Genomic DNA, 12,550 nt, shown 5'->3' on the forward strand with positions numbered 1-12,550 from the left:
CTGCCTCAGCCTCCATAGTTGGGATTACTGGCATGTACCACCATGCCTGGCTAATTGTTGTATTTTTTTTTTTTTAGTAGAGACGGGGTTTCACCATGTTAGCCAGGCTGGTCTCGAACTCCTCACCTCAAATGATCCACCCCTCCTCCGCTTCCCAAAGTGCTGGGATTACAGGCGTGAGCCACTGGCTGGTTATATATGTTGTAGTTCTTGTTGGAAGGCCATCCTCCCTCATGAATCTCCTATTAAGTGAAAGGTCATTGAAATTAATACATTTGCTTTTAACACACTCATGATGAAGAAAAGTTGAACTACAAGTTGAAAGAGATACTAAATAGTAATATTAGGTGCTTAATCCCTCAGCAGCTTAACAGGAAAACAAAAAGAGGCCCAGGTTTTCGAACAAAGTACCCTCAAGCAACTTCAAATGGATACAAGTTTTTAAAAATCAGTGTTTGATTGACATTTGATTCTATGGCCAGAGACTAGTTACTGGCTAAGATGCTTAAGCACAACTCAGACTCCCAGTTATTGATTCTTCTGTAAAACCTCCCTTTTAGTGCCAGTGAAAGAGAGTTGTCGTAGTCTCCTAACAAACCAGGTAATTTCGAGCATTATAAAATAGAACTGTATTTGCCATGTGCCAGGGATTGTATTAAATGCTTTACATACATTACTCTTTCCTCAGAACCACAAAAGTAGGTACTGTTTTGTTTTGAGACAGGGTCCTGCTATGTGGCCTAGGCTGGTCTTGAACTCCTGAGCATAAGCAATCCTCCTGCCTCAGCCTCCCAGTAGCTGGAATTACAGGTGCTTGTCACCATGTCTGGCTCTGGTTCTATTATTATACTCAGTTTCTGGATCTGGAAACTGAAGCTCAGAAGGGTTAAGTAGCTTCTCCAAGGTCACAAACACTGTGACAGAGCCAAAATTTAAACACAGCACACTTGATTCCAATTACACTGTACTGCGTTGTTTCCTTTAGGCCTTTGCTATCCGGTAATGTAGCTACCAGCCACATAATGAACCAGTAATATAGCTACTAGTCCAGTAATGTAGCTACTAGCTATTTAAATGTAAATTAATACAAAGTAAATAAAATTTAATATTCAATTCCTTACTGACTAGCCACAATTCAAGTGCTTAATAGCCACATGTGGCTAGTGGCTTCCATACTGGACAATGCAGATATAGAATCCATTATTGCAGAAAGTATATTTAGAATCATAAGTAACTGGGATATTCTCTCTTTCTCTGTCCTGATAATGCAAATAACACAAATTACCTTGGCACTTTGTCAGAAAGTTCAATTTCAAATTTAAGCTTAAGTATGGCAATACCTTAGCCCTTGTGATCAACATATTCATGCCCATCTTTTTCTTGGTCCTGACTTTCTACCTGTATTTACTTATTATTGTTTCATTGTAGATATTCATGTTATAGGTTTTCTCCAATCCTTGTGGGAAAAGGCAGAATATAAATATAAATAAATAAAAATCAGGACACATGGTCTGATTTTTGTGTGACTTCTTAGGATAAGATACAGACTAGGACTCATGAGCTATCTATATGCTGTCCATAGGAAACTCACTTCATGGATAACAATATAGGCAGGTTGAAAGTAAATGGATGAAGAAAGTTATACATGCAAACATGAATCAAAGGAAAGCAGAAGAGGTAACATTAATCTCAGATAAATTGGACTTCAGAGCAAAGAAAATTATAAGAAACATAGAAGGACATCATATAATGATAAAAAGGTCAGTCCACCAAGAAGATGCAGCAACCCTAAATGTGTGTGCAGTGGACAACAAAATTGCAAAATACATGAACAAAAAACTTATAGGACTGAAAGAAGAAATAGACAAATCCACAGTAATAGTTCAAGTCTTGAACACTCATCTCTCAACAGTTGATAGAACAAGGAAACAGAAAATCGGGAAATACATAGAAAAACAGAACATCAACCAACAAGCTCTAATTAATAGTCATAGAACATTCTTTTCAACAACATCAGTGTGTAGTTTTTTTTTTAAGTGCTAATGGAACATATAGAGGTATAGCATATTCTGGGCCTTCAAATGAGCTTCAACAAATTTAAAGGATTTAAATCATACAGTCTATTTTCTGACCATAGAATCAAACTAGAAATCATGACAGGAAGAAAATAGAAAAATCTACAAACATTAGGAAACTAAAAAGCATAGTTCCAATAATACAGAGGTCAAAGGACAAGTCTCAGTGTAAACTTTAAAAATATATGGAACTGAATGAAAGTGAATACCACATATAAAATTTGTGGGACACACCTAAGGCTATGTTGAGAGTGAATTTTATAGGATTAAATGCATAAACTAGAAAAGAAGAAAATCTCAAATCAATAATATGTTTCTACCTCAAGAACCTAGAAAAAGAAGAGCAAAATAAAGCTAAAGCAAGTAGAAGGAAAGAAATAAGGAGGGAGTGGGGGAAGCAGGGGCAGTGGGTATGGCTATAAAAGGGCAAGATGAGGGATCCTCATGGTGATGCAGAGGTTCTGCATCTTGACTGTATCTTAAGATATTCTACTATGGTTTTGCAAGGTCCTACCATTGGAGGAAACTGATAAAGTGTTACCATTGGAGAAACTACCACTGGTGGAAGCTCTCTCTGTTATTTCTTACAACTGCATGTGAATCTACAAGTTATCGAAAAATAAAAAGTTTAATTTAGCAAACAACAGAGTAGACTTTACGACACATAAGTGAAAATGATAATTATCCAAAATATATAAAGAATTTTAACCAAAAAATACACAAAAAAGGTAACAATAGAAACAATGAGGAAAAGATTTGAAATGATACTTTACAAATGGGTAAAAGTACAATGAAATACTATTAATATTACACACACACTAGATTGGTTATAATGAAACAATTTAACAGTATCAAGTGTTAGCAAGGTTGTTGAGCAAAGTATCCTTCCATACTAGTGACACCTGTAAATTGGTACAACCCCTTTGGGAAACTCTTAGACATTACCTTAAAAATTGGAGAGCTATATGCCCTGTGATGATTCAGTAATTCCACACCTAAGGTATCTGTCTTAGTCAGATTTTCTGTTGCTATCAAGGAATATCTGAGGCTGGGTAATTTCTAAAGAAAAAAAAAAGTGTATTTGGCCCTTGGTTCTGCAGGCTGTACCAGAAGCATGGCACCAGCATCTGCTTCTGTGGAGGGCTTCAGGCTGCCTCCACTCACAGTGGAAGGGAAAAGGGAGAAGACGCACACAGAGATCAAACGCGACAAGAGCCAGAAAGCAAGAGAGAGAGGAAGAAAGTGCCAGGCTTTTTTAAACAACCAGCTCCCACGGGAACTAAAAGTGAGAATTCATTTACTCCCACCAAAATGAGACCAAGCCATTCACGAAGGATGTACCCCCATGATCGAAACACCTCCCACCAGGCCCCACCTCCAACACTGGGATCACATTTCAACATGAGACTTGTTGGGGCCAAACAAACAATATCCAAACCATAGCAATCTCCTAGATATAAATTTGTGTTTATGATACATCAGGATAAATATATAACAACATTCATAGCACCATTGTTCGTCATAGCCTCAAACAGGAAACAACCCAAATGTTTATTAACAGAAGAATGGAAAATATCAGCATATTCATATAATTGAATAACATGGAGCAAACAAAGCCAAAAGATGAGACAGCACACATACTAGGCTTTCTAGAATAGCATTGAAGAAAACCAACATATTTCTCCCCCAAATATTGAGAATTGTTAAGTCAAAGTCACTGAAAACACAGAGGAACACTCTGTCTCAGCTTCTACTCGCCTGATGGCAGAACGTAAGTCCTTCCTTACTACAAACAGCACTTGCTTATCCACCCAGAGAAGGCACTAGCAGGCACAGAGAAATCTGGGAACATTTTCCCAGAAACAGATTTCCCAGAAATCTTCCCACATTTTCACACCTCTTAAAAGACAGCTGTGCTCTTCTCTGTCTTGCCATTATGGGATTTATTACTCTTTGTTAAAATGCTATTTAAACAAGGCTCCTAAACCACTGCTTTGAGAAAGATACTTTTGAACTGAGCCCCCTCCCATATAATGTCAACGTATGTCAAACTTCTGATGATTTTTCTCTTGTAAATCTGACTTTGGTTTTGTTTTTTGTTTTTGTTTTGTTTTGTTTTGTTTATTTGAGACGGAATTTTGCTCTTGTTGCCCAGGCTGGAGTGCAATGGTGCTATCTGGGCTCACCACAACCTCCGCCTCCCAGGTTGAAGTGATTCTCATGCCTCAGCCTCCTCAGTAGCTGGGATTACAGGCATGCACCACCACGCCTGGCTAATTTTGTATTTTTAGTAGAGATGGGGTTTCTCCATGTTGGTCAGGCTCATCTCGAACTTCCAACCTCAGGTGATCCGCCTGCCTAGGCCTCCCGAAGTGCTGGGATTACAGGTGTAAGCCACCATGCCCGGCCCTGACTTTGGTCTTAAGGAGAGTGTCTCAACTAAGAATTTATATGGGTCAAAAAAAGAATTATATTATCTTCCCTTCAGCATTTATTGGATGAGTAGTAGGTGTGGAGATCCGCTGTGGCCCATTCCATTTGGAGTCAGCACACAGGAATGAAAGAGAGCCTGGTCCTTGCCTGAATATGATGGTGTAGTGTCTCCTAATCCAGTAAGCCCCGAAATGCCAGTGAGGAAGGCTATTTTTTCACCTTTCTGAGTAAAGGGCTTGAAACATCAAAGAATAGCTGGCCTGACAAGGGCAGCAATCCAATAGATACATGACGTGGCTGGTAGAACCGTGGCCTCTGGTCCGTTACACCACTTCATTTATCAGTTAGGAGTGCACAGGCTGTCTCCTGACAATAGCAGGGGCAAAAGTCTACGTCTTGTTATGGCAGACAAGTGGCCTGGTCAGCATTCTACTAAGACTGATTGCCTTAAGCATTGGCTGTAGCCAGTTTCCATGGAGCTTGAAGGACAACTCCTTTTCTGGGAGGCCAGCCTGTAGGGAAGGCCCAAGTTAGCCGTATTTCTCCACCACTGCAGTTCTCCACCTCCAATCTCTGTGTGGCCTCTATGCATCATACCCTGTTCCATCAGTAATATATGCCACTTCAACCTATAGGCAACTATGGAGAATGGTTAATACAGCAACTATGGCAGTGGTTCTCAAACTTGAGCTATATCAGAAATACCTGAAGGGTCTATTAATACACAGACTGCAGATCCATGGAGGGCCCTGAGAATTAGTATTTTTAAGGAGTTCCCAGGTGATGCTAATGTTGCTGGTCCAGAAACCACACTTTGAAAATCACTGGAATAGAGAAAGCCATGAATAGTCCTACCCTACGTCAAGGGCTAAGGGGGCCCAGACTCGGCCAAGAGAAGAGGTACCAGAGTTCTGATGGGAGTTAGATAACCATTAGACAACCATATGCCTTTTCCTGTATGCAGAATACTGATTATTTTACTTACTGCTAATCACAATCCATAAACAATAAGATGTGTAGATTAGGGTACAGGCCACCCTTTGTCTGTCAGATTATAAAGATCAATTCTATGATCTAAATCCACTTTGGTTAAAATACTAACATTAGTAGCAACTGCAATAATAAATAAAAATAAAACCACCCTGGTTAAGGAGTCCAGGCTAATCCACTGGGTGACTAGACGGGTCCCATTAGCTATTTAGCCTAGAATGACTGCAGATTTTCTATTACTGTCTTTAGTTTCAATTACTCCTGGCCAGGAATATGACTACATTGTGACTCCTAGTCCTCCTCCCTGACTGGCAACTGGGAAGTTTTCTCCTTCGTATCTAGGCCAGATTGTGGCTGTGGGGGCCCGAAGATCCCAGAAAACATGAAACAGCTGAGTATTTACCTCAGGGTTGTAGGTCTTGGTCTCTGGAGGCAAACAAGGCCATTTGGCCACACAGGAAGAAGCTAGGAGAGACACATGGTCCAGTCCAAAGTTATGTGTGTGCACATGCATGCATGCACTGTGTGGAGTAAAGACAACAGTCATGGTTACAGGGCTTGGATAGAGGCTAACTGAGGCCTGTTGGATTGCTTTCAGGCCTTTCCCAATGACCAGGAATTCTGTGTCATCCCAAGAGGATGAGGACAAGCTAGACATTGAGACCTGAGTCCATTGTTGACAGTTTCACAGGCAGGTGGGTAGTCTAGTGTAATTCAACAGAGTAGGAGAGGAAGCTGGAAGTGGTAAAATGTTATGAAACACTAGACTGTTTCCAGCTCTCCCCTGCTGCAGGTAGTAACTGATGGCTGATCCAATATTGTGACAGGTTAGCAAAGGAGCCACTGGCAGCCAATCAGAGATGCCTGGAAGAATGTGGGATAGCCTGAGTGACAATCCTCCCAGAGGGATCTAAGAACAAGGTAGTGCATCTTCCCTCCACTTATCTCCTACAATTTCAGGTATTCCCTTATTTCTGGTGAGGGGCTTCTTCTGAAAAAATCTATAACATCTGGCCCAGTACAATCACCTTAACAGGAAAACAGGAGTAGCCCCATCACCCCCTGTCTTCTTATATGACCCCATAGTAGTTGAACTGCATTTACTTGCACCCAAGGGTGAGGGCAAGCTAGCACAGTGCCCATGTGGCAAGGTATATAATAACATCAAATGCAGGATAAAGGTGTTAGTGTGACCTCAGATAGATCAGCTACACTAGATAGCCATGAGACAGCAGTGCCTTCAGGTTGGTGTCTGCCCACTCTTGGTATAGGGCATTGTGCAGAATTCCCAACTACCAAAGAGAATCAGGGTAACAAAAAAAAAAAGTGCAAAGGTGTGGAAAGGTATATCTAGGTTCAGGTCCCTGCAGTGCAGCTGTACTACTCTAGTTATTTTCTCATCCCCTAATTCCTAAGTCCAGATGGACCCTTGCAGGATGTGTTGGAAAGAATTCTGTTTTTTTTGTTTGTTTGTTTTTGTTTTTTGAGATGGAGTTTCACTCTTGTTGCCCAGGCTGGAGTGCAATGGCGTGATCTCAGCTCACTGCAACCTCTGCCTCCCAAGTTCAAACGATTCTCCTGCCTCAGCCTCCTGAGTAGCTGGGATTACAGGCATGCGCCACCATGCCCAGCTAATTTTGTATTTTTAGTAGAGACAGGGTTTCTCCATGCTGGTCAGGCTGGTCTCAAACTCCCGACCTCAGGCAAACCACCTGCCTCGGCCTCCCAAAGTGCTGGGATTACAGGTGTGAGCCACCACACCCGGCAGCTGGAAAGAATTCTAAGATGACCCACCAACATTCCCAGCCATTGGTGTACACATACCTTCTCCCAGTTATTCAATCTAGGTACTGTGGTGAAGGGGTTTGCAGATGTAATTAAGTTCTCCAATCAATTGACCTAGAAATAGGGATTATTTAGGCAAGCCTGATCTAATCACATGAACACTTTAAAAGTTTTCTCAGGCTTTCCGAGTCCTGGCCCACGGGCGTTGGGTATGAGCAGCGCCCTCCGCCCTCCGCCCTAAGGGTTCGTGGCCCACCGCTCCTTCGCAGTCCCTGCCGCCACCGTCCACGCTCTGCGTTGTAGAGAAGACAGTGGGTCGGAAGAGCGCCATCGCCGCCAGTGTATGTGGGGCCCTTTTTATCAGGTACTGCATCTACTTTTACCACAAAAGACGAAGTGACCCCAATTTCAAGAACAGGCTTCGAGAACGAAGAAAGAAACAGAAGCTTCCCAAGGAGAGAGCTGGGTTTTCCAAGTTACCTGACCTTAAAGATGCTGACGCTGTTCAGAAATTCTTCCTTGAAGAAACACAGCTTGGTGAAGAGTTACTAGCTCAAGGTAAATATGAGAAGGGTGTAGACCATCTGACAAATGCAATTGCTGTGTGTGGACAGCCACAGCAGTTACTGCAGGTCTTACAGCAAACTCTTCCACCACCAGTGTTCCAGATGCCTCTGACTAAGCTCCCAACAATTAGAGAATTGTAAGTGCTTAGAGCTTGGCTGAAGATGATGTGGAATGAGAAACAAATGTCAACATAATAAAATCTCAGTTAAAAATATTTAAGGCCGGGCGCGGTGGCTCATACCTATAATCCCAGCACTTTGGAAGGCCAAGGCAGGCGGCTCATGAGGTCAGGAGTTCGAGACCAGCCTGGCCAACATGATGAAACCCCGTCTCTACTACAGATACAAAAAATTAGCCGGGTGTGTTGGCGGGCGCCTGTAAGCCCAGCTACTTGGGAGGCTGAGGCAGGAGAATCGGTTGAACCAGGGAGGCGGAGGTTGCAGTGAGCTGAAACCATGCCATTGCACTTCAGCCTGGATGACAGGGTGAGACTCTGTCTCAAAAAAAAAAAAAAAAAAAAAAAAAAAAAAAAAAAATATATATATATATATATATATATATATATATAATTCTTGGTAGTTGAGCAGCTCCAGGGGAATAAGGGCAAATATGCTTGTTATGAACTACACTGAAATCTACCAAAGTTAATGTTTACTTTGTGTAGATCCATTTGTCTATTTTTTTCCCAGTGAAAAGTATATTTTGATAGAGAACTTTTCATTTTATAAATACACTATGAGTTACTGAAATATTATGGATTTTGTTTATTCCAGAAACATAGTTAAACTTTACATATGACATGGCTTATGTTAAAAATACCCAGTGGTCAGTTTTGAAAATAGGCAAAAAAAAAAAAAAAAAAAGTATAGGAGAAACTGAAGAATGCACACTTTTTTAGCTCATACATTTTGCTGTAAATCCGGAAATTTGGTAAACTTGGTTGTGTTTGTGAAAACTAGCATTAAAATTTTTGAGCGATCATTTATTTCCATTTAATCTCTTAGACATAAATATGTGAGGTATGCTGCTGTCCTGTGTTAACAACTTCATTCACTTTCTGTATATCGGTCTTGAAATGTTTTGTTTAAATCAGTGGGCTTAATGTGTTCTAGGTATTTACCTCCTTGGATTTTAAATACATGTAGTTGCAAATAGCACCAGGAATTAGAGCTATGTACACCCCTAATCTAGCCTTGTAAGATTCACCAGTTCCTGTGTGCTCACTTTCCCTCCATTTTTTACATGAGAGAATGCGTCCACTGATCACCAAAGTGTCCCTTTCAGCTTCTGATTCACTGGGTTCTGATGAGCATCTTTAAATCCACCTTAACCTAAGGAATGTGTGTGGGCAACCAGGCTTTGCGTTTTTTTATATTCTGAATTTTGCATGCTTGCCTTAGTATTTCCGAATTGATTTTTTTTCTTTTCTTTTCTTTTTTTTTTTTTTTTTTTTTTTTTTTGAGACAAGAGTTTCGCTCTTGTTGCCCAGGCTGGAGTGCAATGGCATGGTCTTGGCTCGCCGCAACTTCCGCCTCCCAGGTTCAAGCGATTCTCCTGCCTCAGCCTCCAAAGTAGCTGGTATTACAGGAATGTGCCACCACGCCTGGCTAATTTTTTTGTATTTTTAGTAGAGACGGGGTTTCTCCATGTTGGTCAGGCTGGTCTGGAACTCCCAACCTCAGGTGATCCGCCCCCCTTGGCCTCCCAAAGTGCTGGAATTACAGGCATGAGCCACCGCGCCCAGCCGAATTGATCTTTTTTTAATGGTATAACTATCTTGTTGATTTTCACTGAAATTATATGGTTCTGTCACTTCTCTGTAAATTAATCTGAAACTTTTAAGGTAACTGGGATGATCTGCTTGTAAAAATGTTTGTTGACTTTTGCTTTTATCATCGGTGTACCAAATCCTACTTCAGCTTGATTAATTTATCTTGTTAAACGATGAGAGTAAGTTACAACCTTGTGACTGAAAACTTGAAAATAATGGAGCAGGTGGGACCTCTTATTCTCAAATAGTGACATATTCTCCGTAGTCACAGATTCCATTTCAGAATTGAGTAAGGATCCTTGGTATTTGGTGGCATCTGTTGAACTGAGTAGCATTTCTCATTGTAAAGACTGCCTTTATTCTGTCTAAAAGTCTGTGGAGAGATCCCAAAGACTTTTCCTGTGTACTAGGCATTTTATTTTGGTTTACTTACAAACTCTTCTTAATCGTTATTAACCTTGGGTTTTTGTGGTATAGTGGAAGGAGAAATCGTTCTAGTTTCTGCCTCTGATTAGCCGCACAGCCTTGAGCAAGTCACATTTCATCTCTGATCTTACCTCTACTATTAGACTAGGTGACTCACATTTGAGGACCTTTCTCAGGTATCTTGAGGGTGTGTGATCTTGAACCCTTAAACAGTGCCTTTTTGGTGACATAGGATGCTTTTGGCAGGGGGGATGACCAGTGCAAACATGCCAGTTAGTTTTACTAGTGGGATCCCAAATCCAAAGCAGTGTAGTGGTGATTGGTCAGTGATTAACCAGTCAGCTAAAAAGTCTTAGGCACCAGCCCAGATGTATATAGAGGGGCAGTTAGAGAGAAAACAGGGGTGGGAAAGGGAGCAACGGGCAGACAGCTCAGCATGGAAAAAAGGGGCTCAGAAAAAGGAGGGCTGGCTGGAGGAGTGAAGAGCAGCTTAGGTCTGGGGAGGGTAGAAACACCATTTCCTTGGGAACTGGAGTGCAGCATGAGCTGAGTATCACTTGGCTCTAAACATACTGGCTTTGCTGTAATCCTTGAAAAGACAGTGATATCTTCATTTTACAGCTCATTAAGCCAAGTACATGTTCTTATTTAAATGACAACTTTGGTGCTTTAAAATGAGGTACTGCTTTTTTTAAAGCCAGCTGTGTCAAGTTAAAGAAAAAAGATCAGCACTTTTTTCTCCCAGAAATGTAATCACCAAACACTATCCGTTCCCATCTTGAGTTTTACAAGGTGATAGAATCAGGTCGTTGTAGTGATGCTGGCCAAATGGTGCTCAGCAAGTGAGAACGAAAAAACCCCAAATTTCAGTGGAGTAATAAACAGCTTGAATGTTTCCATGTGCTAATGTGGCACACTTACTAAAAACAAAAACTTTGGAAATGGGAAATAATGTATTAGTGCAACAGTTGACATGCTTCTTTGGGCAAAGATCCATTGTTTTGGTCCACAATTTGTACTTAGGGTGAAAGAACATTTAAAACATAGACTTACTGGCTGTAGCAATGCTGGGCCTGTTAACTGATAACTAGAACTTAGGTTCACATTTATGTAACGTGTGTAAAACCTAGTGGAACGTGCATAATAGGCAGTCAGTAAATGTTTGGTTCCTTTTGCCTCTCAGTAAGTTTATTTTACCAACTTCCTGCCTGCCATTCTGACTTTATTAAATCAACCTGTGGACCAGAGTGTTAATGAAATGTTACTGCAGAAGAGATTAGAAAATTGGTATATCATGCACATATCATAGACAATCTTTTTGTAATGTAAAAAATGCAGTTTTAGGGCTGGGCGCGGTGGCTCATGCCTGTAATCCTAGCACTTTGGGAGGCCGAGGCGGGTAGAATCACGAGGTCAGGAGATCGAGACCATCCTGGCTAATACGGTGAAACCCTGTCTCTACTAAAAAATACAAAAAAATTAGCCGGGCCTTGTGGCGGGCACCTGTAGTCCCAGCTACTCGGGAGGCTGAGGCAGGAGAATGGCGTGAACCCAGGAGGTGGAGCTGGCAGTAAGCCGAGATCACGCCACTGCACTCCAGCCTGGGCGACACAGCGAGACTCCATCTCAAAAAATAAAAAATAAAAAAATGCAGTTTTTATTATTGCTTGTGCCTCAACTGTTTAAGTGAATATTAAGGGGCTTGGAGAAAAAAAAAAGTTTTCTCTGGCTAGTTGCAGAAGCAAAGTCAGAGAGATATGTTCTAGCTGACCTGGAAGAAAACAAACATGCATTTTGTGAGTTGCCTATGGGAGTCATGTGGCAAGAAACTGCAGGCATCCTTTAGGAGCTGACAGCTAGCATGAAAATAAGATCTTAGTCCTACATCTATAAGGAAATGAATTCTACAAATAACCAGTGAGCCTGGAAGGAGGCTCCCAGCCCCACGTGAACCACAGCCTGAACCAACACCTGGGGGATTTCATTCAGCCTGATGAGGCCCTGAGCAGAAAATTCAGCCATGCTGTGCAGACTTCTGACCTATAGAAACTATGAGATAATTTGTGTTGTTTTAAGCCACAAAGTTTATGGTAATTTGTTATGTAGCAATAGAAAACTAACGCAGGTAATAAATGTATTCAGGACATATAGAATTAGACAAGCTGCAAGTATCTATGAATAGAGAGTTTCAGGGTTCTCTTGCCTTCATACTCTGCAGGCAGTAAAAGATATAGGAATGTGTTGTGTTAAGATGCCTGGGCATGAGGAATGTTCCACTGTCTGAATGGGTACCTAGATATCCTAGTAGTAAGCAGTCATTCCTACAGAGTCTAAATTGTGTTGGAAAGTTCACAGGACAACCAATGCTTCTGTCTTAACACCTAATGAATCAGACAACTCTAAGAATCCAGAGGGGTGATCATTAATGATTCCTCAGTCCTCATCAGACTTACCAGTTTACCATCACTGTCTTAAAATCAGGGTACAGTCTTTGGGTTCTCAT

At 41.3% G+C, this 12,550-nt stretch overlaps 1 pseudogene; it reads left to right on the forward strand.

Moving 5' to 3' along the window:
* Nucleotides 7,464-11,759, forward strand: TOMM20P1 (TOMM20 pseudogene 1; annotated as a pseudogene).

The sequence above is a fragment of the Homo sapiens genome, chromosome 11, assembly GCF_000001405.40.
Source record: "Homo sapiens chromosome 11, GRCh38.p14 Primary Assembly".
In the NCBI taxonomy this organism is placed as follows: domain Eukaryota; kingdom Metazoa; phylum Chordata; class Mammalia; order Primates; family Hominidae; genus Homo; species Homo sapiens.